This window comes from Homo sapiens, chromosome 1, assembly GCF_000001405.40.
Source record: "Homo sapiens chromosome 1, GRCh38.p14 Primary Assembly".
NCBI classification, from domain to species: Eukaryota; Metazoa; Chordata; class Mammalia; order Primates; family Hominidae; genus Homo; species Homo sapiens.
Window position 1 is genome coordinate 230,975,418 of NC_000001.11, and position 26,990 is coordinate 231,002,407.

The 26,990-nt window shown below is 43.0% G+C and overlaps 2 protein-coding genes across 20 annotated transcripts in view, besides 3 other annotated features; one reads left to right on the forward strand and one right to left on the reverse strand.

Moving 5' to 3' along the window:
* TTC13 (tetratricopeptide repeat domain 13) overlaps window positions 1-3,444 on the reverse strand; it is a 72,619-nt gene extending 69,175 nt beyond the window's left edge. For all 14 annotated transcript variants that reach the window (NM_001376514.1, NM_001376509.1, XM_006711814.3 and 11 more), the window contains exon 1: window positions 3,143-3,444. In NM_001376514.1, coding sequence (NP_001363443.1) covers window positions 3,143-3,413 — 271 coding nt within the window. In that variant the 5' untranslated portion in view covers window positions 3,414-3,444. The remainder of the gene's footprint in view (window positions 1-3,142) is intronic.
* Window positions 2,759-3,048: a silencer, noted in NCBI's record as "silent region_1944". NCBI's record gives its function as "represses an Ori minimal core promoter by ATAC-STARR-seq in GM12878 lymphoblastoid cells {active_cell/tissue: GM12878}" and the evidence as "EXISTENCE:reporter gene assay evidence [ECO:0000049][PMID:35858748]".
* Window positions 3,069-3,328: a silencer, noted in NCBI's record as "silent region_1945". NCBI's record gives its function as "represses an Ori minimal core promoter by ATAC-STARR-seq in GM12878 lymphoblastoid cells {active_cell/tissue: GM12878}" and the evidence as "EXISTENCE:reporter gene assay evidence [ECO:0000049][PMID:35858748]".
* Window positions 3,609-3,908: an enhancer, noted in NCBI's record as "active region_2721". NCBI's record gives its function as "activates an Ori minimal core promoter by ATAC-STARR-seq in GM12878 lymphoblastoid cells {active_cell/tissue: GM12878}" and the evidence as "EXISTENCE:reporter gene assay evidence [ECO:0000049][PMID:35858748]".
* On the forward strand, window positions 3,677-25,316 carry ARV1 (ARV1 fatty acid homeostasis modulator). Of its 6 annotated transcripts, none has more exons than XR_002957381.2 (8): window positions 3,677-3,862; window positions 12,903-13,022; window positions 14,693-14,846; window positions 15,159-15,281; window positions 20,343-20,567; window positions 21,704-21,850; window positions 24,206-24,384; window positions 24,721-25,316. XR_002957381.2 is itself a non-coding variant. In XM_024449202.2 (7 exons), exons 1-6 carry the CDS (start codon window positions 3,689-3,691, stop codon window positions 21,844-21,846), a joined length of 939 nt encoding a protein of 312 aa, XP_024304970.1. In that variant the 5' UTR covers window positions 3,677-3,688; the 3' UTR covers window positions 21,847-21,850; window positions 24,721-25,316. The 6 variants fall into 6 exon arrangements, 3 of the variants coding, with proteins under 3 accessions (XP_024304970.1, NP_001333921.1, NP_073623.1); XR_007063028.1 differs by having other exon boundaries at window positions 15,183-15,281; NR_144538.2 differs by lacking the exon at window positions 15,159-15,281.

The following is a 26,990-nucleotide window of genomic DNA, read 5'->3' on the forward strand; positions in this document are numbered from 1 at the left end:
GATTAAAAAAGATTGCAGAGTGTTTATGACAATATAACTAAAAAAGTGAGGAAAGAATTGGAAAAATACTTCTGTTCATCATTTCCTCCGACAGTTACAAATTAAAGATAGGGCTTTGGCAACAGGAAATTTACTTTTATTTTTAAAATATGTACAATACAGTGTTCATTTTTTTAAAATAATATTTTTTCTCTACAAGTAAACAAAGAGAGAAGACAAGTTTGTGGTTATATGCTTTTCAAGTAAAAAGGTAAAAATAAATAAAATATCAAAAAGGTAAAATGTAAAAATGTGGAGTAGAAAATATTAAGGGCGGATCAGGAAACATGCAAAGCTCAAGCTGAGACATATGGCACCAGAGGGACATCCATGCCTGTCACTTCTGCAGTAGATCTGGGTGGGGCTCAGCCCACTGAGCATTAGGCTGTTCCCTGGGACATGGATGCCATGTGACGGTGGTGTGCATAGCTGGGCCAGCCATTGCTAGTGTGTTGTCTTTGGATTGGTGGGCTCCCACCAGCCACTGTCCTTGTATGTACAATCACTGGCGGTTCTGTCTCAAGGGAATACATATACTGCTTGTAAGAAGGTATGCAGATTTAAATTTAGACCCAAGCAGGCATCAGCTCAGCCATTTGAACCTGAAAGCTGTGGGAAAGATTCTGAAAAGTGGTTGTGCTGCTGTGTTTGTCCTCAGTATATGTGCTGGATTGATATGAACAGGTTTGTGGCTGGACAGGCAAGCAAGAGACGATGGCATGATCAATGCTTAGTAAAGCCAAGTCTGTATGATTCTGAAGAACTGACTAGTTCTGGATCCTGACATTTGTCTAGACCCTAATGTTGCTCAAATGGGTCTCCGGATACAGAGCATCAGCTGCCCCTCAGGCTATGGCACGGTTAGTTGTAAATCCCGAATTCATCCCCACATCCTAGGACAGAGAAGAAATGAAACAGGTTTCATAGGGTCCAGCTTCTACATAGTTGTCCAGGGCGAAGAGGGAGAAATGAGAAGTATTTCAGTAGCCCCTACAACAACAGAGTTGGCTTTTGTCGCATACTGCAGCCAGGAAAGCTGAGGGAAACAGCTGGAGCTCCAAGTAGTTGATTCTGGAAATGACTTCTTGGGTGACCACAGCGGCAGCTGCCCCACTTTAGCACCTGTTGGTAGCTACTCACACAGCCAGGGGAGGTGATCTGAAAGACTCAGGTCGTTCATTTGCAACAGTAAATTTTAAATTCCAAGCTAGAAAAAATAAGTACTACATGGGAGAGAGAAAAAGAAGGTAGAAACATCTAAATAAATTATGTTTACAGCTTCATGATACAGTGTTCATCCTCCAGGGAAATATCGTAATACAAGTCAGAGCTGGCTTGAACAGGGTTCTTAAATACTGGTGGTTAGCCTGATGCCAAAGAATCAAATAAGCCACCAACATCAATGATACCAATAGATATCATAGTATTAATCGATACATACCTTCTACTGTCTAAACGCTGGGGCTCCTTTAGCCAGTGAGCACCACATGAGCAAAGGAGAAAGGGAAATTTACCCAACATGCACCATATGCAAGTAAATACTTCAGATGTGGTTTGCCTACCTACAACCACTTAATGGTTAGGACAAAGGCTTTGTCTGGAGCCCGACTTCATGGGTTCCTCCTTTGGCAGCTGTGGGATCTCAAGAAGATGACAATTTCACTATGTTTCAGTTTGTTCATCTGAGAAAATGAGCCACCATCTAATGAGGTGGTTATTGTTTTTCTGATAGACTAATATACTAGGCTCATAGACCTAAAGCACTTATAACAGCACCTGGCATACAGCAAGCACTCAATATATGTCGGCTACTTCTCATTTCCCTCACAGCACCCTCGTGAGGAAAATAAAACCCCACAATTAGGTGAACAGTGTTTTCCACTTACAGAGGAGGCATTTTACAAAGACAGGTAATTCACTTGCTCAGAGATACAGAAAGTGACAGAGGTAAGTAAATGCCATTCTTTCTCCACCGTGCAAGGCTGGCCGTGTTACTTACGCCGTTACCAGCTAAGGCCTACCGCAAAATAAAAAAGTCACAAACCTCTCAGTGAGTGACACTTCCTCAAGGAAGTCAGACTGTACTAAAAGGAAATCAGATTGTGCTAATCTTGACGTCTCATCTCAACTAAAAAAAAAAGGTATTGTTTTCCCAGGTACACAATGCCGAAGAAAACCACTGCCAAGTCTTAAAAGCAACCATCTCCCAGTGGGTTCGGTAGACCCCGGTCCTTCCCAAAGCAAGCCATAAGGGAACTCACATAGAGAAGGGGGAAAGAGAAAGGGAGGAGATTGATGGGTAAAAAGACCCACGACAGAACTTCAAAACAAAAAAATGTACACACGTATTTTGTCCCAGAGGCATCTGCTATGATTTATTAAACTGAAGCCAATAGCGCCCATTCTTAATGAATGAGCTGGCGTAGCTCCAATACACACACGGCACTGACACACAGGCTCAAGGCCTGCAGGGGCCTTTTTTCCCTCTGGGAGACACCTGACAGATCGCAGGTTGATCTTAAACAACTGGAAGCAAGATGTCAACGAGCAGATAAGATGGGCTTGCTCTTTTTTTCCATTCCAGGGATCCAATTTTTAGGAACTGTTGTATACGAGACATTAACCCGGGAGGTCAGGAAGCCTGATTTCCAGGCCTAAGATGTGCCAGGCGTCTCCCTCCGGGGGCGGGCTCCGCAAGCCGCCGGGCTGGTTGCTCGTCCGCCCGCCCCTCCCTCGCCCCTTCGGCATCCTCGGGAGGCCGGCGGCGGGAACAGGGCTGCCCCGGGCCACCTGCCATCTCCTCCGCCACCCTTCCAACAGTTGCTTCAGACTCAGGAGAGAGGCCGCCCTGGCCCCAGGAGCATGCTGTCAGCTCATTTCTCGACTCGCCGCCCTGCCCAAAGGCGGCTGCAGGAGGGCGCGCGGCGGCGTGGGTGGCAGCGGCGGGAAGCTGCCCGCCAGGACCCCTGGCCGAGCCGGCTCCCGCGGATCGCGCGCCGCAGCCGGAGGCGTGAGGCCCGGGCGACCCGTACCCCGGCCCGGGACCCCAGCCCCGCTGCCCCGCCGCCCCGGCCGACTCGGACGCCCGCCGCCGCCCACTCACCGCCGCACTCGGCAGAGTACTGGTCCCCCCAGTCCCCGGACTGCGGGCTGCAGCCGCCGCCGCCCGCCGGGGCCTCCTGCTGCTGCCGGTGCTGCAGCTCCTGCTTGAGCAGGGAGAGCGGCGAGTAGTGCTCGGTGGCCAGGGCGCCTGGCCGCAGCCCGGCGGACAGGACCCCCAGCAGCAGCAGCAGCAGGACACGCCGGGCGGCGCCCGCGGCGGCCACAGCGCCGCCCCAGAAGCAGCAGCAGCAGCAGCAGCCGGCAGGTGCCATCTTCCCTCAAGGCGCATGCGCGACAGCCCTTGCCCGGCTCTCAGGCCTCCCCGCCTCTAACCTACGGCGGGCAGGTGGACCGTGGCAAGGGGGCGGGACAAGGGGAGAAGCATTGTGTGCTGGGAATGGTAGTCCCAGCTCGGCCAGCCCGGGGCCGCCTTGCCGGTGCCGGGACTACGAATCCCAATAAGCCCGCGCGGCGCAAGTCTTCCGGTCTGGCGTCTGACGTCTTACCCTCCACAGAATCGGAAGTTCTGGACTGCAGTTGAGTGGAAATGGGCAACGGCGGGCGGAGCGGCCTGCAGCAGGGGAAGGGGAACGTGGATGGGGTGGCAGCGACTCCTACTGCTGCCTCGGCCTCCTGCCAGTACAGGTGCATCGAATGCAACCAGGAGGCCAAAGAGTTGTACCGAGACTATAACCACGGTGTGCTGAAGATAACCATCTGTGTGAGTTGTCAGGTGTGGGGTGCCCTTGAGAAGAAAATGGCGCGGCGGGATTTGGGGACCGCGAGGAGCAGGGTCCTCTGATACAGTCTTTAGTTCGGTAGTTGACATTCCCGCCCGGGATCTTTGCATGAATATCTGTACTGATAGAGAACTCAGCTACCCGACAGCGCTTTTCTCATACTGGGGCATATTTGGGTGATATGACCTAAGCCGGCGAACGGACCGGACCGACAGACAGAGGTAGATGTGGGCATTTTGCAGAGAAATTTAAAGATCAATTAGGTTGACATTTTGGTTCATGCCAAAGCTACTTCCTTCTAGCTCTTCTCCCTTTGACAGAGAGATGGTACCATCCTTACCCTCCACAACCCATGTTGAATTCACCTACGATGCTTTTTAAAGGTTTCATCAATTGTCGTTATTGGATGTCTACGGTGTACAAAGCACTATGCTAGACGTTGGTGGTACAAAACCCAAAAGTGAGGAAGTAAAAATTCTCATTTCAAGGTGTTCGTAGAATACCTTGAACTTTCTGATGATTTTCCATCTCAGAGTTAAGGCCCGAATCCCTGAACTGGCTTATAAGGCCCTATGGAGTCTCCTGCTACTCTTTCCCTTCTTTATTTTACGGCAGAGAGAATAATCTTATGTTTAAAGAGTCTACAAAGTTGGAGGTTCTTTGGGGGTATTAATTAGCAAAGAACCTGTCACAGAATAGACAGTACATTTTTGTCCCATTTCAGATCTTGTGATTTTCTAATCTCTTTAGTAAATTATGGTCTGTAGTAATATACAAGAGAATTGACAAACTGAGTGTATACCTGTATAATCTGCCAACCACATAACGTTCTGATGCATACAACCTCAATTTCCTGTTCCTCTCTCAAGTACTTTCCCTCTTTTGTCAAAATGTCAACCCTTGTTAAATCCAACATATTGCCTGGTCTTGTCCCTGTACCCATGCAGCAGTACGTTGCTGGGGAAAAACAAATTTGTGACGATTAACCTCATATAGGCCTTTCATGATTTCTGGCAATCTTATTTCGGTTTTTTTTTTCTTTCTTTCTTTCTTTTTGAGATAGAGTTTCCCTCTGTCACCCAGGCTGGAGTGCAGTGGGGCACTCTCAGCTCACTAAAACCTCTGCCTCCCAAGTTCAAGCAATTCTCCTGCCTCAGCCTCCCAAGTAGCTGGGATTACAGGCCTGCACCACCACGCCGGGCTAATTTTTGTATTTTTAGTAGAGACCAGGTTTCACCATGTTGACCAGGCTGGTCTTGAACTGACCTCAAATGATCCACCCACCTCGGCCTCCCAAAGTGCTGGGGTTACAGGCATGAGCCACTGCGAAAACAGAAGAGAACTTCCACCAGGTTTGCAACAACATAAACCCAATACTAGCATTTGTTATTTCTTTACTGTACTGTCTTCTTCTGCCTTCTGCTGGATCATTCCCACCAGCATGCATACTGTTACTTCTTCCATCAAAAAAAAAAAAAAAACCAACACCACCAACAAAATACACTTGCTGCCACTTCCCCCTTTAGCTTCTGCTCTTTTTCTTCTTAATTAGAAAGCAGACCTTCTAAGATATGTTTGTACTGTCTATTTCCTTTCCTAGTTTCTCTTGAACCTGCTTTAGTCACATTCCCACCCGCATTTCATTAGAAACTGTTCTTGTTAAGATCACCACTTCCACTTTGCTAAATCCAGTAGTCGATTCTCAGTTAATGATCAGCAGCATTTTACCTCATTACTTCCTCCTCCTTGAAATGCTGTGTGCGCTTCCCAGGATTCAGTGCTCTTCTTATTGTCTTCTTACTTCACTGGCTGTTACCCCTCAATCTCCTTTCTGCTTTTGCTTCACCTCCCTTACCTCTTAATCATGGTGTATTCCAACGCATAGTCATCGTGCCTCTTTCTGTCTGCATGCTTTCCCTTGAAGAGCTCATTCTGTCTCATGGCTTTAAATACCGTCAAAATTTTGACAATTTCCAAATTTATATTTCTACCCTGAACCTCTTCCCTGAACTCCAGACTTAAATGTCCAACTACCTACTTGACTTCTCCACTTGGATTTCAATAGACAGCTCAAATATACCCATCACAGTTAATGGCAACTTTACCATTTTAACTCCTAAGACCAAGAAACCTTGGTGTCATCCCTATTTCTACTCTTCCTCTCACATCCCATATTCAGGTATTCAGCAAATCCTGTTCTGTCTTCAAATTATGTTCAGAATCCACTACTTCTCACTACTCCTGCTGCTACAATCCTCATCCAAGCCACCATGATGTCTACCTGAACTATTGTTGTAACTCCTATCTGGTCTCCCTACATCATCCTTGTACCTCTTCAGTCTTCTCTCCACACAGTAGCCAGGGACTGATCCTTTAAAAATGTAATTTAGATCATATCATCTCTTTGACCAAAACTTTCTGATGATTTTCCATCTCAGAGTTAAGGCCTGAATCCCTGAACTGGCTTATAAGGCCCTATGGAGTCTCCTGCTACTCTTTCCCTTCTTTATTTTACCGGCAGTCCCGCTGGCATCCTGGTGTTTCTCAGACCAGGCAGGTTCCTTCCTCAAGGCCTTTGCACAATGCCTGGAGCACTCTTCTATCAGGTATCTGCGTGACTAATTCCCTTACCTCCTTCAAACATCTCAGAGAGTCTACTCTGACTACCCTATTGAAAAGTATGATATGCTTCCCAGCTTTATCTTTCTCTATAGCACCTATCTTCTTGTAATCTTGTATATAATTGACTTAATGTTGTGTGTCTTCTCCTACTGGAAAGTAAGCTACACAAGGACAGACATTCTCTCTGTTTTATTCATTAATGTAGCTGTATCACCCAGAACAGCGACTGACATTTAGTAGCCACTCAGTAAATGTCTGTTGAATAAATGTATCACTTCCAGGTTTTTAGATTAGCATATGCTTGGCCATCCAGGTAGGAGGAAGAGAACAAGATCTTATATGTGGTCTAAACTTAATAACTTTTGGACTGGTCCAATTAAATGGTCAGTTTGGAAGATGATAACCACATAACTGAATATGGTCTGAAGAAAAGCTGGTATTTGTATATGCATTTTAGTTAGTAGTCTTCAATAATACAAAAAATCTCTTTTTGTTGGCATTAAGCTAACAAAATCCCTTTGCTAAACAGCAGGTGTTTATTTTGTTTATGGAAAGGCAAAATAATTATTGGATAGCTGTTTAGGTCAACATTCACTTACCCCCTCCCCTTTGTTCCCTAACATGATACTCTTTCTCCCAAGAGATGGACTTTGGAGTTATATTTGGAATATTGAATGGTGGCACAGTACTTTATGGATTCGTTATTGTCCACAGTCATTCCATAATGAGACAGAGTGTCTAATGGCCTTGTCGCTATCATGCTAATGCATACTAAACTTTAGGCCATAATAGCACGACTCAGGGAAAATCATTTTGTTGATGCCAGACTAAAAAATTAAACCATGAAGCAATGAATTATTTTAAAGGCCCTCCAACCTCTGAGATACAAAAAGTAAGAAGTTTTTAAACATTAGACCATGTGTTGTGACATAATCTCCAGAGTTTCTAAGTGGTTACTCATATATACTTTGGTCTCTTCCCTGCCGAACTTGGAGTCAGCAAGATCCTCAGCCTGATCGCCCACGTGTATTTTTCATCCCAATCTCCTTTCCTTTTGCTCTGCTTGTTTCTTCACTGCCATTCCTCCCAGCTTGCCTTTCTGTGTTTCTCTGACTTTCCTCTAATATATCATGTGTCCCTTGCTTTTAACCAATCCTGCTGCTTCAGCTCTTCACAATTTATTATAAGTACGCTTAAAGATACAGTACTTTCGGCCTAGCACGGTGGCTCATGCCTGTAATCCCAGTACTTTGGGAGGCCAAGGCAGGCGGAGCACGAGGTCAGGAGTTCAAGACCAGCCTGACCAACACGGTGAAACCCCATCTCTCTAAAAATACAAAAATTAGCCAGGCGTGGTGGCGCACTCTTGTAATCCCAGCTACTCGGGAGGCTGAGGCAGGAGAATCTCTTGAACCCGGGAGGCAGAGGTTGCAGTGAAGCTGAGATTGCGCCACTGCACTCCAGCCTGGATGACAGAGTGAGACTCCGTCTCAAAAAAAAAAAAAAAAAGTACTTTTTATTTGCTATAGGGCTTGGCTTATTTTAAGTGCACAGATATTTAACAAATTCATTATTATGTTAACAAAACAAAACTCCTATAAGAGTCTCCTAAGTTTCCATTTCCTTCAGCACTACAGCATTCGGCTCCCACCCTTGGGATCCTAGATGCAAAGATGAATAAGACACAGCCCTACCCTTGAGGAGCTTAAAGACTTAAAGAAGGGAAGGGAATGCTCCTAGAGATGACAGGAAGGAAACAGCAGGAATATTTATGAAAAAAATTGGTTTGGCCGATTTATATTCTAAAAGAGATCTGATTCATTAGGCATTGGAGAACACAGCAGGACAGAGGAAGTCATATCCATGTTTAGACAGGTGATGGAAGCAGCCTGAATTCCCAGAGTATGCTTGGTCCTTGCGTTGTAGGGATTCTTTAGAGGAAGATTTTTCTCTTTTCAGGATACTTGCCTATAAAGTAGTAAATGAAACAATTTTGCCAAAATAAGAAACATAGGAAACATAGTTGCTAAATCTGGGCAGGCGTGATGATTCACACCTATAATCCCAGCACTGTGGGAGGCTAAATCGCAGATCACTTGAGGTCAGTAGTTCAAGACCAGCCTGGGCAACATGGTGAGACCACCCCCTGTCCCCCACCCATCTATACTAAACTACAAAAATCAGCTGGGCATGGTGGCACGCGCCTGTAGCCCCAACTACTCAGGAGGTTGAGGTGGGAGGATCACTTGAGCCAGGGAAGCAGAGGCTGTAGTGGGACAAGATCCTGCCACTGCACTCCAGGCCTAGGCGACAGAGTGAGACCTTGTCTCAAAAAGGAAAGAAAAGAAAAGAAACATATATACTAAATTGAATAAATACAACTCCCAGTGGTCTGCTTTGGGATGTCTACATTTGTTTGTTTCGTGTGTGTGTGTGTGTGTGCGTGTGTGTGTGTGTGTGTGTGTGTGTGTGTGTGTGTGTAGTTTTCCTCTTCACATTCAAGGTGAAGGCAGAGGGAAAGGAAGTTGCAAGCAGCACTTAAGGGAAAAGCAAATAATAGAGGGAGAACAAGGAAAGTGAGGTGTAAACTTGTTGTGCCCAGGGGTGTTAGAGAGAACGCCACACTTTGAGACGAATTAAGAGTCCTTTATTAAGCCGGCGGCCAAAGAGACAACTAATGCTCAAAATTCTCTCGGAAGGGGCTTGATTAACTTTTATATCTAGGTTTAGGAAGGGGAGGGGGACTCAAATGCAATAATTCTACAGAAGTAAAAACATGCAAGAATCAAAAGAAGCAAAATGGTTACAGAGAGATAAACAACTTAAAAGACAAATGGTTACAAGAAGAGCAACGGTACCAGGTGCAAGGTTCTAAATCCTTCATTATAATTAGATATAGGGTCTATGCCGGACACGAACTCAAGGTTTTATGTTGTTATCTCTTTGAGAAAAATCCTGGGAACTTCATACATTGTTGGTGTTAGTACCTTATCAGTTAATTGGGCTTTTTTGAAATGCTGATTATCTGTTTACCCAGGCCAACTCCTTACGGAAGGGGGTTGGGTAATGAGCCCTTAGTGTCTTGTAAATTAAGAGGTCAATTGGAGTTTGTCCGGCCTTCCCAGCTAGAGAGAGTCTTACTTACATGAGAAGCAAAGCTAGGTGATTAAAGAGACAAGCAGGACAAAATTCAAAGTAACGAGTTAGAGTAAAAACAAGGTTAGGCGTTTCAAACTGACTGAGAGGGAACCAGCAAACTTTAATGACTTCTCAGCATTTATAAAACATGCCGAATGCTAAGAAGGGAAATGGGCAAAGCACACAGCATATCACATACTACCAGAAGCTGCCTCCTCTGTTTGATTTCATATCACCCTGTGCTTATCCCATTGTAGCCGTTGGATGTTACATAGTCTGATGACTGTGGTCATGAGACCATATCATAGAGGCATGTTTGTCTTCTGCTTCTAAACTGTTAGATCCTTGAGGATAGAAACTGTGGCTGAAGGTGAATATCTAGCACCTTGGAAGTTCCTGGTCCATAAAATGGCCAAGAAAAGAGAACGATTGTTATACATGTAATAGCCACTCCAAAGACATTTGTCAAACAAATGAATGCAAAAGGAATAACAGCTGCTGTGTCTCCTGGTGCTGGTTTCTGCCTACCTCCTTCCAAGTATTGTCCAGATCCCCAGCCTTAGACTTGTGATGCTGTCCAAAAACGGGTTTTAGAGAATATTTAAAGGACAGAGAGAGGACCCCTGACTTTTTAGGGTTTCCATTTTAACATGAAGCAGCCTCTCTGGTGTCCCAGTCTTGCATGTAGAAAGGAAGGAGATGTGTTCCATGTGAGTAGCCAAGGGAGACCTATCAAACAGCTGTTTGTCATGGACATGGAATTTCTGATTCTGGGGCTTCTGTTTAGATTCTGGCTTACTCCCTGCTCAGGTAAAGAACTGCAAAAATATTAACTCCTTATGCGTCAGTTTGATTAAGCAGAATTTTTTTTTTTTTGAGACGGAATCTTGCTGTGTTGCCCAGGCTGGAGTGCAGTGGCGTGAACTCAGCTCACTGTAAGCTCCGCCTCCTGGGTTCACGCCCCATTCTCCTGCCTCATCCTGTAGTTGCTGGGACTACAGGCACCTGCCACCACGCCCTCCTAATCTTTTTGTATTTTTTTTTTAGTAGAGATGGGGTTTCACCATGTTAGCCAGGATGGTCTCGATTTCCTGACCTCGTGATCCACCTGCCTCGGACTCCCAAAAGTGCTGGGATTACAGGCATGAGCCACCATGCCTGGCCCTGATTAAGCACATTTAAGTTTGAGGTAACAGCACGTCTCCCTTCATTGGATCACTCGGTAACTGGAAAACATACCTATTCTTGTAATGACACAAATGAAGTGGAGAAGCTATTTAAATTGGGAACACATCCAATGTTTTATTACATTTGAATTGCAGGGTCGGTATTCTTCAGTGCCCTTCATTTTTCTTCCAGCACTTTAATGTAATTAAAAGGCCAGCCTAGAAGGTTTTTACACTCGCAACTCTTCTATTTTATCTTCTCAGAGTTTCCAAATGTTATGCGTTTGAATTGTAGCCATTCCAGTAGTCCCCGTTCTCTTTGGGGTATATGTTCCAGGACCCACAGTGAGTGCCTGAAACCACAGATAGTATGGAACCCAATTACCATCCATCGGAACACGTTTCTGTTCGTGCCTTCCACCCACAAATGTAATACTTTTCCTATTTTTTTTTTTTTTTTTTTTTTTTTTTTTTTTTTTTTTGAGAGAGAGAGACCGAGACAGGGTCTTGCTTTGTTGCCCAGGATGGGCTCGAACTTCTGGCTTCAAGCGATCCTCTCACCTCGGACTCCCAAAGTGCTGGTATCACAGATGTGAACCATGGCACCTGGCCCTGCCTTTTCCATCTTAGCACTTCTCACATACTGTGGCCTTAATTTTTGCAGTTTGAAATGCCACAGCAAAACTAGCACAATTTCTTTTCTTTACAGTTGCACAGGTAGAAGATTCATTCTTACTGTAGATCTTAACCTCAGCATAAGATTGGTTTTTTCCTTATTAGTTGAGAACTTTCACCTTTTCACTTAAAGGATTTTACAGCTTCTCTTTGGCTGTAAAATTGCCAGCATCACTACTCTCATGCTTTGGGGCTATTATTAAGTCAAAGAAGGGTGACTTGAACCACAAGCACTGCAGTACTGCAATCCTCAATCCTGTTAACCTGGACAGCGACTAGATGACTAACAGGCGGGGAGCATCTGCAACGTGGACACGCTAGACAAAGGGATGATTCACATCCCGGACAGTGGAGCAGGACAGCATGCAATTTAAAACTTATGCTTATTTCTGGATTTTTCCATTTCATATTTTCAGAATGCTGTTGACCTCGGGTTACAAACTGCAGAAAGCAAAACTGTGGCTACGGGAGGACTGCTGTAGTTTTATAAAGTGAATGGTAGCATTGATGCATTTTTGTGAATAGTACTGCTTTAGAGGTCACATTTCTAATGAGCTTGTTTGTGTATACCTGCGTTTTTTATGTTCTAGTGATGTTGGAATTTGGTAACATTGTAATCACATGTGTCTAGAGAATCTGAACTCAAAATTGGTGACCCTTCAGGGGGGAATAAAGCCATTTAATGTGAACTGCTAAGAGCCAAGGGAGCCTTGATTCTGGAACCTAGAGCTAGGCTGCACAGCCTAGTTCCTTGCACAGCCCAGCACTCTCCAGACTGTACAGACAGTAGAGTCTGTCTCTACTCTAGCAGAGAAAGACCATTTTCTTTCCATATCCTTGATGTTACTGGAGAAAAACCCAGGCTTCCCCTGTTACCGGCCACCTCAGGATCATTCGGATCATGCCCCATTCTTTACCTACTTGCAGCTCTCAGTAGTTCTGGGGACAAGGTAACTGCTGAGTACTTTTCTCCAAATCATGTGCCAAGAACCATAAAGTCAGGGGCATCTAGCCAAGAGGCAACAATTTATCAATGAAAGTGCATTATAAATATATTTATTTTGTAATAATTGCTACAAATTGAAAGTGGAATTGGACATAGAGTCTCTGTAGATTGAAAGTAAAATCTTCTGGAATACTTTCCTGCCTAAACTCAGTCTTTAAATTAGATATATTTTTAGCTTCTTGAATATGACGTTAAAATATTAATATTCCTAGCCTAGAAGATTATATTTAGTCCTTTCTGAAACCCTTTCTTATATAGATGAACATTTTGTATCTGAATGGAAGTTTATATAAATAATTGCTAATATGGCCATATTGCTATCTGTGTCCAAAATAGACTCTGCTGTTTTGAAATCCTTGAGGATTTCAGAAAGTATACATTTGCTTGTTCTAATATTATCTTGTATTATTTCAGAAATCCTGCCAGAAACCTGTAGACAAATATATCGAGTATGATCCTGTTATCATCTTGATTAATGCTATATTGTGCAAAGCTCAGGCCTACAGACATATTCTTTTCAATACTCAAATAAATGTAAGTTGTGATAATTTCATTTTTTAATTTTATTTGATGCTGTTACATTTTAAAAGAATAATAAGAATTTTAAACAGAAGTAAAGAATATTATAAAAGAGGAAAAGAAATTCTAATGTGAGAGTGGGTCTTTTATTGCAACATATCTGGAAGTTTCTAGAAATAATAGATGTTGATTTTGAAAGGTGCACAATGCTTAGTGAGTGTTTAAGAATATGGTCACTGGCAGGAAACTGACAAGCCATGATCTGAATTACCTGCTAGTAAATTGAAACAATCATCACTGGTTTTTAACAGAATACAATTAGACATATCCAGGTAGGGAGAGAATTATACCTAAATGAGTTAAGCAAACATTAAAAGAAAAATGTTTTTTTAAAACATAATTTATTGCATTTTATACTTTGCTATTAAAGGAATGTATAAGGTAAATAACATTCAGTTTAATCAAAGTCCTGATTTATAAAGTTGAATTTTTCAAAATAAACTTTTAGTTTATTGAATTGTGAGCTCTTTAATAGTTTGGGTAGAGTTGACAGATAACATACAGGACAGTCAATTAAATTTGAATTTCATATATACCATGAATTAATTTTTTAGTATAAGAATGTCCCAAATATTGCATGGAACATACTTATACAATAAAAATGGATTCATGGTGTGTGTGAAACTCAAATTTAACTGGCGGTCCTGTTATTTTATTTATTTATTTATTTTTGAGACGGAGTCTTGCTCTGTCACCCAGGCTGAAGTGCAGTGGCGTGATCTCGGCTCACTGCAGCCTCTACCTCCTGGGTTCAAGTGTTCTACTGCCTCAGCCTCCCAAGTAGCTGGGATTACAGGCACGCATCACCAAGCCCAGCTAATTTTTGTATTTCTAGTAGAGATGAGGTTCGCCATGTTGACCAGGCTAGTCTGGAATTCCTGACCTCAAGTGATCCTCCCACCTCAGCCTCCCAAAGTATTGGGATTACAGGCATGAGCTACTGTGCCCAGCTCTTCCTCACTTTATATTGATGGAGAAAGTTCAACCTGAAGGAGGAATACATAGAAAAAAGCCAATTTTTGTTGCCTAGTATTTTTTATTTTAGCCAAAATTTCAGACTTTTAAGAATTAGGTTTTAATTGTTCTCTTTTAACATATTGAGTCATACTCATCCAGCTGGAGATATTTTTAAAAAACTGATGTTCAGACTAATAGTTTCTTATTCAATATCATGGAATCTTCAGATTAAGTCTATTCTCTTATTGCTGTTCCCACATATACATGAATCACATAAGTTTTTTGCTTGATTCTGTATAAAGGACAGAAATCAAAAATGTATAATGAAAGGTGAACTATTATTTAAAGCAGTGATTCTTAACTAGGGGTGCACATTAGAATCCCCCCAGAACTGTTTCAAAGTATGATGTCTATGTTGTACTATGAAGATTCTCAATCAGGACCTGGGCTCAGACATTTAAATTTTGAAAAAAATCTCCCCATGTGCTTCTGATGGACATTGCTGATTAAAACTCACTGATTACAAAATGACTACAATTAGCCACTTAATTGGGCAGTCCTGAATTTGAAAAGTGACTAGGTGGGATGCCACAAATACTCTGTACCTGTTGATACTAGTGCAACTGGGTTTCCTTACCTAATTGAATGGCAATGTCTTTGACTATCAGATCCATGGAAAACTCTGCATATTTTGTTTGCTTTGTGAAGCATACCTGAGGTGGTGGCAGCTTCAAGATTCCAACCAGAATACTGCCCCTGATGACTTGATCAGATATGCTAAGGAATGGGATTTCTATAGAATGTTTGCGATTGCTGCTTTAGGTAAGGAGATGCCATGCTTTCCATTCTTAGTTAACTATTCTTACTTAACTAATCTGGTTAAAACTAAGACATGTAGTCTTAATTGTTGGTAAGAAGAGCTAGTTAATATGGGACTTAAGATGAAATTTTCAGCTCTACCACTACTAACCTACGAGGTGAGTGTGTTTGAATCACCTGCTTTTTAAAAATTTGTTACCACGTATATGGTATGGAAGTAGTTATGCTTATCGGATTAGAAAGTTTCATAAAATATTTCGAAGCACAATATTGTTGATAAAATTCTTTTATTTTTATTATTATATATTTTTTAAGACAGGGTCTCACTCTGTTGCCTAGGCTGGAGTGCAGTGGCACAGTCACAGCTCACTGCAGCCCTGAACTCCTGGGCTCAAGCAATCCTCCTGCCTCGGCCCCCCCAGGTAGCTGGAACCACAGGTATGCACCACCACACCATGCACCACCTCCAGCTAATTTTTGTATTTTTTTGTTGAGATGGGGGGTCTTTCCGTGTTGCCCAGGCTGGTCTTGAACTCCTGAACTCAAGCAGTCCTCCCACCTCAGCCTCCCAAAGTGCTGGGATTACAGGTGTGAGCCACTGTGCCTGGCCAATAAAATTCTTAATGTTTAAGTTTTGATTATCCAATCTGAAAGTTAGCTAAGTCCTATCTTTATTAATAGAGATAATTGCCAGACATTACCCAATGTATTGTACTAATTGCATTATACTAATGCAGTGTATTTAATAGGGTTTGGTATTTTTTGTTACTTGTTACTTATCTGAGTGCATGCAGGGAATTTGGCTACTCCTCAAAATTCCTTAAGTTCAGGAAGTGCTTTTCAGAATTTCACTTCATAAGTTATTGTTTTCCTAGTGTCAGAATTGTGTTGAGCTAATTTCTGTGACTATTTTATTGCTAGTTCCATGCTTCTCTGCTTCTCAACTCTTTGATTATAATGAAATCTTACTTTAGTAATACTAAGTCTCCAGTCCACTCCAATATCACATTTCTGGGCTGTGTGTCTTCTTTTGTCCTCTTTTTTTCTCTGTCTGCTCTCGCTCTCTTGGTCATGTAACCTGTCTGCTGAGAACTCTCAAATGTCCATCTAGACCTTTCTCCAGACCTCCAGACTCTGCATCCCTCTGCCTTCTCAACATCACCACTTGGATATCTAATAAATCACCATACCCATAATTGAGCTCCTCATCTCTCTGCCTCTACCACAGCCTTCTCCTTCTCAGTTGTAACTCCATTCTTTTAGTTGCATTCACCAGAAAACCTTGCAGTCATCCCTGATGCCTCTTTCTTTGATACCCCATAGTCAGGTCATCAGGAAATCCCATTGGCTCCACCTTCAAAGTACTTCTACTTTTTTTTTTTTTTTTTTGAGACGGAGTCTCACTCTGTCGCCCAGGCTGGAGTGCAGTGGCGCGGTCTTGACTCACTGCAACCTCTGCCTCCTGGGTTCAAGCAGTTCTCCTGCCTTAGCCTCCCGAGTAGCTGGGATTACAGGCACGTGCCACCATGCTTAGCTAATTTTTGTATTTTTAGTAGAGACGGCTTCACCATGTTGGTCAGGCTGGTCTCGAACTTCTGACCTCGTGATCCGTCCGCCTCTGCCTCCCAAAGTGCTGGGATTACAGGCATGAGCCACTGCGCCCAGCCACACTTCTACTATTATACTACTGCTACCCTCCATTCCCTCCACGGCTGCCACACTGTTGCAGGCCACTCTCATCCTTCACCTGCATGACTACAGTAGCCTCCTTGTTTGCTAGCCCAGTTCTCCAACTGTGTATTTGCACGCAACACAGAGTAGTCCTTTTCAACCAAATCAGATCATGTCACTGTTGTGCTAGAACACAGTAGCTCCCCGTTTCACTCAGAGTGCAAGCTGAAGTCTTTACAGTGGGCCTTGTACTGGAATCTGCCCCTCCCACTGCGTCTCTCATTTTATCCACAGCTGTCATCTCCCATGTCTACTCTGACCCTCCCCATCTAGTTAACTTGCTTCAGAAACACTGGATGAGCTTCCACCTTAAGGCCTTTGAAGTGGCTCTTCCTGTGCCCGGAATGCCTGTCCCCCTGATGCCCAGATGTCTGACTCCTGCATACCCCTCAAGAGTTGGCTAAAATGACACTTTCTAAATGAAGTGTACCTCTGACACTCCTGATCTCCTGTTCCGGCTCTACTTTGTTTTTCTTATGGTACTTACTATTTAACATATCACAGAAGTTATTATCTTTTGTTAGTGCCTTTCCCCACTAACATGTCAACTGAATGAGGTCAGGGCTCTTTGTGTTAGTCACGGTTGTAGCTCAAGCACTTAGGTGCCTGGCCCAGGTGCTTAATAAATATTTGCTCAGCTGATTGAATGAATGATTGCATACATTCATCCACGCACTCTTAACTTGAGCAAGTCACCATCAGTTACACTCGGTGATTATTCATTCACTATTCATTATTATTCATTCCCTTAAGAAATATTTTTAAATACTTATTAGGTGCCAGTTACTACTTTAGGTACTTTAGGTACTAGAGATATATCCATGGAAAATACATAGAAAAATCTCCGCCTCCATTATTATGTAATTACTAAGGCTTATGACAGCTTAACCGCCATGATGTCCAGTCTATCGATAATTTTGTATACAATTTGGACTTTGCAACAATTTAAAATATTTGAAATATACAAAAGAATATGTTAACCTTTTTATCTTATGAAACATAATACTACTGAAAACATCCTTGAGCACATCATCTAGCCCAAGAACTAGAACCTAATATGATTTTAAACCTTAAAGCAAAGCCTCTTAAAAATTTTTTTTAATTTTTATTTTTTTAAGAGTGAAGGTCTTGCTCTGTCACCGAGGCTAGGGTGCAGTGGCACAGTCATAGCTCACTGCAGCCTGGAGCTCCTGGGCTCAAGGGATCCCCCTGCCTCCGTCTCCTGAGTAGCTGGAACTACAGGTACATGCTACTGTGCCTGGCTAATTTAAAAAAAAAAATTTATGTAAAGGCAGTATCTTACTCTGTTGTCCAGGTTGGTCTTGAACTCCTGGGCTCAAACAGTCCTCCCATATGGGCCTCCCAAAGTGCTGAGACTGCAGGCATCAGCCACTGTTCCTGGCCCTTCTTAAAATTTCTAAAGATAAACTGTTATATGTCCATATTTTGTATATACTATTAAAAACCAGGCTTGTTTTTAAATGGGTTGGAATTCTTATAGCAACTACTCTGTAGTAGATATTTTGATGCTTAATCAGAAGTTTCTTTCTACTATTACTTAACTTTTTTATGTGTCTTAGTCTAATCCCTAATTAGACTGTATAGTCCAAAAGAATATCTTGGCCGGGCGTGGTACCTCACACCTGTAATCCCAGCACTTTGGGAGGCCAAGACAGGTGGATTACTTGAGCTCGGAAGTTGGAAACCAGCCTGGGCAACATGGCAATATTCTGTCTCTACAAAAAATACAAAAATTAGCTGGGCATGGTGGCATGTGCCTGTAGTCCTAGCTACTTGAGGGGCAGAGACAGGAGGATCGCTTGAGCCCAGGAGGTCAAAGCTGCAGTGAGTCATGTTCATGCCACTGCACTTTTGCCTGGATGACCAAGACAGACTCTGTCTCAAAAAACTAAAAGAATATCTTACATAAATAAAGCATTTTATAATTTAAAAACTGCTTTTACAGGAATTATTTAATTTTCACAATCATCCTCTGAGGTAGGTAGGTTAGGGGTTCCCCCATCTATAGCTGCAGAAACATAGATGCATAGATTTTCCCGAAGTCTCACAGTGGGTCACTAGTGCTGAAACTGAGGAAAGTCTCCCGACCCCCTTCAGTGTTTTCCACACTGGAGTATTCTATACGTAGGTAGCAGCTCCTTCTGAACTGACCTGATTGATGAGAGCCTGAGGGCTGGTGTAGTTCCATAAATCTCGTAAATCCTAAATTTAAAAGATGTGGAGGTTATCTAGTCTAGCCTGTGTGGCGCAAGAAATCTTTCTGTCTAGACTCCTGAGAGATGCTGTAGCTTTGAGTGTCTCCAGTGACAGGAGTCAACCCACCATTGTTAGATGGTTCTTGTTATTCGCTATTCTTTCACTATTTATTCATTCAAGGAATTATTTATTGTTATTTTTATCCAAAATCCAAGCTTTACAATCTACCTGAGTACATTCTTGTAGCTGACAAGTCTTTTAGTTATTTTGAAGGGAGATAGCATGTCTCCCTTGAAGAATACATCATATTTCATGGAGGTTAACCATCCTAATTTTTTTTTTTTTTTTTTTGAGACGGAGTCTCGCTCTGTCGCCCAGACTGGAGTGCAGTGGCACAATCTCGGCTCACTGCAAGCTCCGCCTCCCGGGTTCACGCCATTCTCCTGCGTCAGCCTCCCGAGTAGCTGGGACTACAGGCGCCTGCCACCACTCCCGGCTAATTGTTTTTTGTATTTTTAGTAGAGACGGGGTTTCACCGTGTTAGCCAGGATGATCTCAATCTCCTGACCTTGTGATCCGCCTGCCTCGGCCTCCCAAAGTGCTGGGATTACAGGCATGAGCCACCATGCCCAGCCCCTAAATTATTTTTATTGATCCTAATTACCTACATTTGGAACCTCTTTAGTTTGGCTTTATTAAGTTTAAAAAAGAGGATAGTTGTTTCTGCTGTAATATAATACATGTGTCCAGAGAAACCTGATTCTGCAGAAACCTAAACTGCTAATAACATAGCTTATATGGGAAAAAATAAAATAAGGGACTGGCCACTCAGAATGGATACAGTTGGGTAATCGGATGACTAACAATCCTAATAAAAATTACAGCACAGTTAAAAGAGATGTTAAATTCCTAGTTAATAGAAGCTGAACAGATTGTGCTGTGTTCTGACCATAGGACACAGTGGAACTATTGCTGCTGTTAATCTGGACTCTGTCCTATGAATACTTTCTGGAAGTGTAAGGAATTGCATTTTAAAATGTTGTTAAAATGAGTAAAGGAAGTCTCAGTTAACAATATTAAAAAATCATGTGGATAATAGGCACTTAAATAGTGGAAGAATGCACAGAGAAAAATGTCTTCCTGTGTTATCCCATTCTTACGATAGGTCCCATCTTTCAGACTGAAAAGCCTGCATTCTCCTGTTTTATTCTTTGGAGATCTCTTACACTGAAGATGTTTAAGCAGAATCTTACTTCCTTCAAGGAACTTCAGAAAGTTGATGATTACAATTCTAATGGAGTTACTTTTTCTTCAGTGGATAATGTTTCTGAAATTATACCAGCAGGATCTAATACAAAAGCCAGGGGTTTATTTAAAAAAAAAAAACAACACACAAACAAAAAGAAGAAGAAAAAGAGATTGTGATCTTGAGAAAGTATTTCTTATGAAGTCAGCTGATAAGCTGTATTTTAGAATGGTGGTTTATTTGTTTTTAAGGGGATATATTTTGGATGGGGACATTCATACTTTTATTTTCCATTTCTTCTTTAGAACAAACTGCCTATTTTATTGGCATTTTTACCTTCCTGTGGGTAGAACGGCCCATGACGGCAAAAAAAAAGCCCAACTTCATTTTGCTGCTGAAAGCATTATTATTATCTAGCTACGGAAAACTCTTGCTGATTCCAGCTGTCATTTGGGAACATGACTACACATCTGTGTGCCTCAAACTCATTAAAGTATTTGTTCTTACATCAAATTTTCAGGCAATTAGAGGTATGTTTATGTGTTTATTCTGCCTTCTCAGTTTTCAACCCATAAAAAGCTTAAAGCCTTGTTTCTGGGGTGCAGTTTTTATATAACCTGTTGAACACTGGAATTCTTCATCGCATAGTAATAATACCTAACACTTCTATAGCACCTTATACATAGCAGGTACTCAGTGTTTGTTACATTTAACCATATAGTACTTTATAGTTTTCAAAATGCTCTCATATGCATCATCTCTGTCCTGTGAGGTTAGTAGAACTGCCATTATTTGATTTTATGAATGAGCTCCTGGGGCTCTGAGGGTTAAGTGGCTTGTCCGACGTTACATGGCTGGGCAGTTATCAAGTCAGGAGAGAATGCTGAGTATCTGCCTCTCAATCCAGGACAATTTCTACTATATCAGGAAGAGCAGCCCTGTGTGTCTTCATTTTTCCCATATATTTTACATAGTGCTATTTTATTTATTTTTATTTTATTTATTTTTTTGAGATAGGGTGTCACTTGGTCACCCAGGCTAGAGTGCAGTGATGTGATCAGAACTCACTACAGCCTCTACTTCCTGAGGTCAAGTGATCCTCCCAACTCAGCCTCCTGAAAAGCTGGCCACAGGTATATGCCACCACACCCTGCTAAATTTTTGTAGAGACAGGGTTTCGACATGTTGCCAGCCTGGTCTTGAACTCCTGGGCTCGAGCAGTCTGTCCACCTTGGCATCCCAAAGTGCTGGGAACAAGCATGAGCCGCTGTGCCTGGCCGAAGTCCTATTTTAAATGAACTTATTACCTGATACTTTTTATCAGAATGCTTGTCATCTTGCAAACTGTGACACTGAAAGTATCATTTTGTTGTTGTTGTCGTTATTCTCTTATAGCGTTAGAATTTTTTGTTTTCTCCTTTGATATTCACGGGAATCTGCCGCTTGATATGAGGAGAAGGGGCTCAGTGTTTTGTTGTAAGTAGAGGCTTTGGTTCTCTAAAAATGTGTAGATGGAAAAGTGGGAGAAGGTAACAGCATAGATTAATAAGAACAAACATTGATTTTTCCAAAAACAGCTTTACAAAACAATTCATACTACCCGAAAATTTACATGTCAATATCGTTTCATTAATTCTGAACTTATTGGCTGCCTTCTCCTTTCCAGTGACCCTAAACATCAACCGTAAGCTCTCCTTCTTGGCCGTGTTGAGTGGCTTACTGCTGGAAAGCATCATGGTCTACTTCTTCCAGAGTATGGAATGGGATGTTGGAAGTGATTATGCCATCTTTAAATCTCAGGACTTCTGAAGAGGTACTGAAAGCATGTAGTGTTCATGCATTCAGACATGTAGCCTTCTCAAATAAGACAGATGTCATTGTAAAAGAAGTCGGTGCCCTTACATAACCCATTCTCTAGCGTCTAACTGCCTCTAGGTCACCCTCATCTTCCTCAAGGACTTTACTACATGGCCCCCAGGGGTCTTCACTTTAGTTCCTTTTGTCACCCTCTGGGACATCAACATCCATGTTTTTGTTGCTTCTAGGGTCCTATCCTCACAATTTTTCTAACACCTCCACTCCCACCCATTCTACTAGGATTGCAGACTCTAAAACTGTCTCCTACCCTTCCCAACCATTCTCCACCCTCCCTTCCCCCATGCCAGGTTTTTGCTGCCTTTCTCACCTCTTAGTCTCTTGACCTCTCATTTTCGCTACTTCTGACCTGCCTTGCCTCTTTTTTAACCACACCTGGAACCTATAGGCTGTGTTGTGCTCTTCTCTGTTAGTACCTTGACATCCATCAGCCTTTTGCCTTCCATCATACGTGCTTTGCTAAGGCTGTTTGGGTGAGTCTTGCCACCTGTCTCCTAGAGAGCCTCGCAGTGTTTCCTGAGCAGCCACCTCTGCCAGTGCACAGAACCTCAGAAGATGTCATGCTGCTCCTGTGCCTTCATAGTCACCTCCAGTGACCCTCCCATCAGAGGGCCATACCTCGATTGTTCTGTTCTGGTCGTCCCCTTTGTCTGCTCTGACTTTGCTGAGAATTGAGACCTTCACAAGTTCCTTAAGCTTCCCTCTTCACGTCAGTTCGTCTTCGGTCTTCCTCATTCTTTCCTCCTTCTCTCCTTCCTATCTCATGTTGTGCTCAGCTTCCTCTCTGGGGCTGTTTCTGACCTGTGGGTGTTCCCCTCCCTCCAGTCACAGCCAGACTGTGGATGGCAGCCTCTGTGTTAGGAAGCAGGACCTTAGGCAGGATCCTGGAAGGCTGGGCCAGAGAGTGAGGAAAACACTGGAGCAGAGGGACACAGACCCCCGTCAGGGAGAGTTGAGGCTGCGCTTTGGTCTCTCCCTCCTCGCTGTTACATCCTCCTTGCAAGTAGCGGCTGTAAAGCTTCTCTGCCTCTCCTAACATGCCATCCTCCACTCCTGTTGCCTCAATCTCTCTTCATGCCCAGCTAATCCACCTTTTTGGGTCTTCAGACATATCGCTGCTTCATTGATCCTCTCTCCTGTATAGCAGCTCTCTCCCCTCTGCCTATGCACAGCTCTTCATTCCAGAACAGTTGATGTAAGCCTGCTTCCCCTGTTTCTTCACTGCCTTTCCTCTTTGTAAAACATACTTTCACCCAGAGTCTCTTGAACCTATGCTCCTAAAATTCACAAGGAGAGCAGGGCACAGTGGCTCATTTCTGTAATCCCAGCACTTTGGGAGGCCGAGTCAGGAAGATGGCTTGAGCCCAGGAGATCAAGACCAGCCTGGGCAACATAGTGAGACCCCATCTTTACAGGAAAAAAAAAAAAAACAATAGCTGGGCATGGTGGCGTACACCTGTACTCCCAACTACTCAGGAAGCTGAGGTAGGATGATTGCTTGAGCCCATGAAGTTAAGGCTGCAGTGAGCTGTGATTGTGCCACTGCACTCCAGCCTGGGTGACAGAACAAGATCCTGTCTCAAAAACAAAAAAATACACAAGGAAGCCAATTCCTCCTTGTTTTCTGAGTCCTCCTCCTCCCTTAGCTCTGCTCCAGAAACCTCTGGCTTTTGGCTCCTGCTGAAACAGGCCACCCAGTCCCTTCCCATTAGATCTTTCTTCACTGACTTCTTTGCCTGTGCCAGGATTCTGTCCTCAGCCCTCTTCCTTCCCTTCACTGTGCACGTAACTGTGTACTTTCCTTCCAGGCCTCATACCTCCAGCTTCCCCTCTCTGCCAGGTCCCCTGCCTCCTACCAGGACGGTCCTGCCATTACCTCAAGTGTCCACAGGTCTGATGTGGAATTCGGTGTCACCTGCACTCTCCTGTTGAAGCAGAGTCCTTTTCTGATAACGTTTCTCTTGAAATGCTCCTCAGCTCTTTTCACCCACACCTCACCCTCTCCTGCCTAAAGGTTCTAACACCTCCAAACCAGCCTGCAACCCATACTGCTGCCATGTAAGTCTTCATGGAGCACCATTCCTGGGGGCCTTCTCAATTTTTCCATAATTTCTGATTGCTGACATAGGAGTTTCTTGTGTCTTTCTGAAGAATGTCTTTAGTTTTCTCTGAGCATTAGTGTGGCCCTCTGTAATGTCATCATCCTAATTCTTCTCCCCAGGCATGTTCCTACTTAAGTTCCACATCCACCACAGGTCCTCTCTTCTCCAAACTTGCCTTATGCTCTCCTTAGGTCCTGCAGTGCCCTTGTCTCCACCTAACCAGATACGGTCAGCTTTGCCTCTCCATGGAATAAGTGAAGACTTTCCAAAAACTCCAGTTTGCAGTGCTTACTTTTTCCGTTGACCTCCGAGTGCTCAGCTTAACACCTACAGCAGTCACGTGCCCAAGAACTTCTGACATTGCCCCAGGGTCAGATCTTTTGTTTCTACTTTTCATAAGTGCATCTGCTTGTCTGACAATCAATTATAATTTATAGTTAGGAAAATAAGGTCACATATCTTGAATCACTTGAAAGCCATTACCCTGTTTTTTATTATCTCATGTTTTATACTTATCTATGTCTGTCTGGTATTAAAATTTCATGTGTTTATGCCTCACTCTCCCAGCCTGTTCAGAAGTCTGGTGCTGGGAGAGGCATGCCTTGGGTTCCTTTGTATCCACCTTAACTCAGGGCCTGCCCTAGTGTCTGTCAGTTTGATTTTCAGCAGAATGTGGCATTCTAAATACATCCTTTATTTTTCACAGTTTTATTCTTCTTCACTATCTGTGGCATGACCAGCTGTATCTGAAAGAGAAAAGACATGAAATATAAACCAACCTCCTCATTTCTGTTGAGTAAAATGAAGCAAAGATTGGAAACACTTTCTGAAAAAGAAAGCAATGATAATAGCGGTGGATACCCACCCCCACAAATGCACCCAAGAGACAAGCCATTTACATACAGATATTCACAGTCACACATAGAAACACCCACATGGACACAAGGAATGTTGCTGCAGAGACTGAATGACATGCAACAGGTGAAGGTTTATACGTTATACACAAGGCCAGGTAAGCGCTCATAATTCACACATAATAAAACATCTAGGTTTCATTCCTTTGACATGTTTATATCTTTTTAATTTAAATGTTGTTACTGGCTTAAAATATTTTGTGTTCTTACAATAGAAACGCTTTTAATAAAGTCTTTCAGAATAAACCAAGTTTTTGTAAATTTTCAATTCAATAATTAAGGTAATCTTTAAAATTGGATGATCCAAAAATAAGTGATAATGAAAACCACTGAGTTATATACTTTGCAAGGGTAAATTACATCTGAATAAAGCTGTAATTAAAAACAACACCTCTCCCCTTTCCACTCTCCCTGTTTCATTCATTTGTTCTTTCACTATTATTCATGCCACAGATACTTACAGAGCACCTGCTATCTCTGTGGCAGACCCTGTGGTTACAGGGGTGAATAGGACATGATCCCCTTGAAGCTTACTGGGCAGTGCTGGATTTGGAAGTATGAGTAGAGAATCACAGTGCAGTGCAATGAAGAGGTGGGGATAGGGTGCTCGGGCAGTACAGAGTAGCAACACCTATTGCAGCATTTGAAGCTGGGAGGGCTTTGGAGAGGAAGGGGAAAGAAAAGGAACTTTCCAGTATCCCTGCTGGAGAGAACAAGAAGACATGCTGAATTAGAGGGTGGAGAGTGTGTCGGGGGGTGTGCAGGGCCTGAAAGTACATAGACACCTGGGCGAGGCTCGGCAGTGGGGGCTTTACAGTGACACTAGGAAGTCATGTAAATATGGGTTATGAAGAGCCTTTTGTAATTTGTCCCCAAGGACTGTGAAACCAGCACAGCTAGTTAAACAGAAGAATCCAAAGATTAGAAAAAGTTAATTGGAGTAACATCTCAAAACAGCCACAGGACGGGGAGGACCATTGACCACCCGATGGAGCCTGTAAGTGTTAAGGGGAGAGAGAGAGAACAGGATTCAAAAGCACAACCAAAAGGAAAAGGTCAGTTAAAAACAAGTGTCAGAGGCCATCCACGGTGGCTCATACCTATAAACCCAGCACTTGGGGAGGCTGAAGTGGGCAGATCACTTGAGCCCAGGAGTTTGAGACCAGCCTGGAAAACATGGCAAAATCCTGTCTCTACAAAAAAAAAAAAAAAAAGCCAGGCTTGGTGGCACACAGCTGTAGTCCAAGCTACTCAGGAGGCTGAGTTGGGAAGATCACTTGAGCCTGGGAGGCAGAGGCTATGGTAAGCCAAGATCGTGCCACTGCACTCCAGCCTGGGTGACAGAAAAAGACTCATCTCAAAAAAAAAAAAAAAAAATTGTCAGAAAAAGTAATAACCAAAAATGTAATACATCAATGATCATTTTGCAAATCTTTGTCTGATCTGTTAACTCAGATAAGTGAAGATAAACGCATCATCCATTTATAAATTAATAAATCTCATTTTTTTTAATCACCACAAAGGTGTTTATTAGTCACTAAAAAAAAACAAGTAGATCTGGAGGAAGATGGTGGATAGGAGACAGGGCTAACATGCAGCTCCCACTTGGACAGACAGAATAGTGTGGAGACTCACCATGGACTTTTGCTCCAAGGACCACCACAGGAACATGCCAGGCAAGCCAAAAGAATTTACAAATCCTTTGAAAGAAGCAGCACACCACTGCAAATTCTGCAAGACAGGCAAAAAATTGTGAGTTCTCAATGTGTGAAAGGGGGAAAACTTACCTCTGAACACACATCCCCACTGGAGAATCTGAAAATCCAGATCACAGAAGAAGGATTTAACCCTACCTAGAGCTGAAACATTTAGGGAGCCACAGAAAATACAAAAGTAGAAGCAACAGTGGGAAGAGCCTTATAGGCATTCCCAGTCTCCAGCTCAAGCCCAGGAAAGCTATCCCCGACTACATCTCACAGGAGCCCTCAGGGAAGGCAGACAGCAGAATTAGGGAGGGCTTAAACAGAGTGAAAGAAGCTTCCAACTGAAATTTGTAATAATT

Excerpts from the sequence above, each read along its gene's own strand:
- ARV1 (XM_024449202.2), top strand. The coding sequence starts at position 3,689 with ATGGGCAACGGCGGGCGGAGCGGCCTGCAGCAGGGGAAGGGGAACGTG. Across the intron at positions 13,023-14,692 it reads TTTTCAATACTCAAATAAAT|ATCCATGGAAAACTCTGCAT; the intron begins GTAAGTTGTGAT and ends TTTGACTATCAG. Across the intron at positions 15,282-20,342 it reads CCAGGTAGCTGGAACCACAG|AACAAACTGCCTATTTTATT; the intron begins GTATGCACCACC and ends TTTCTTCTTTAG.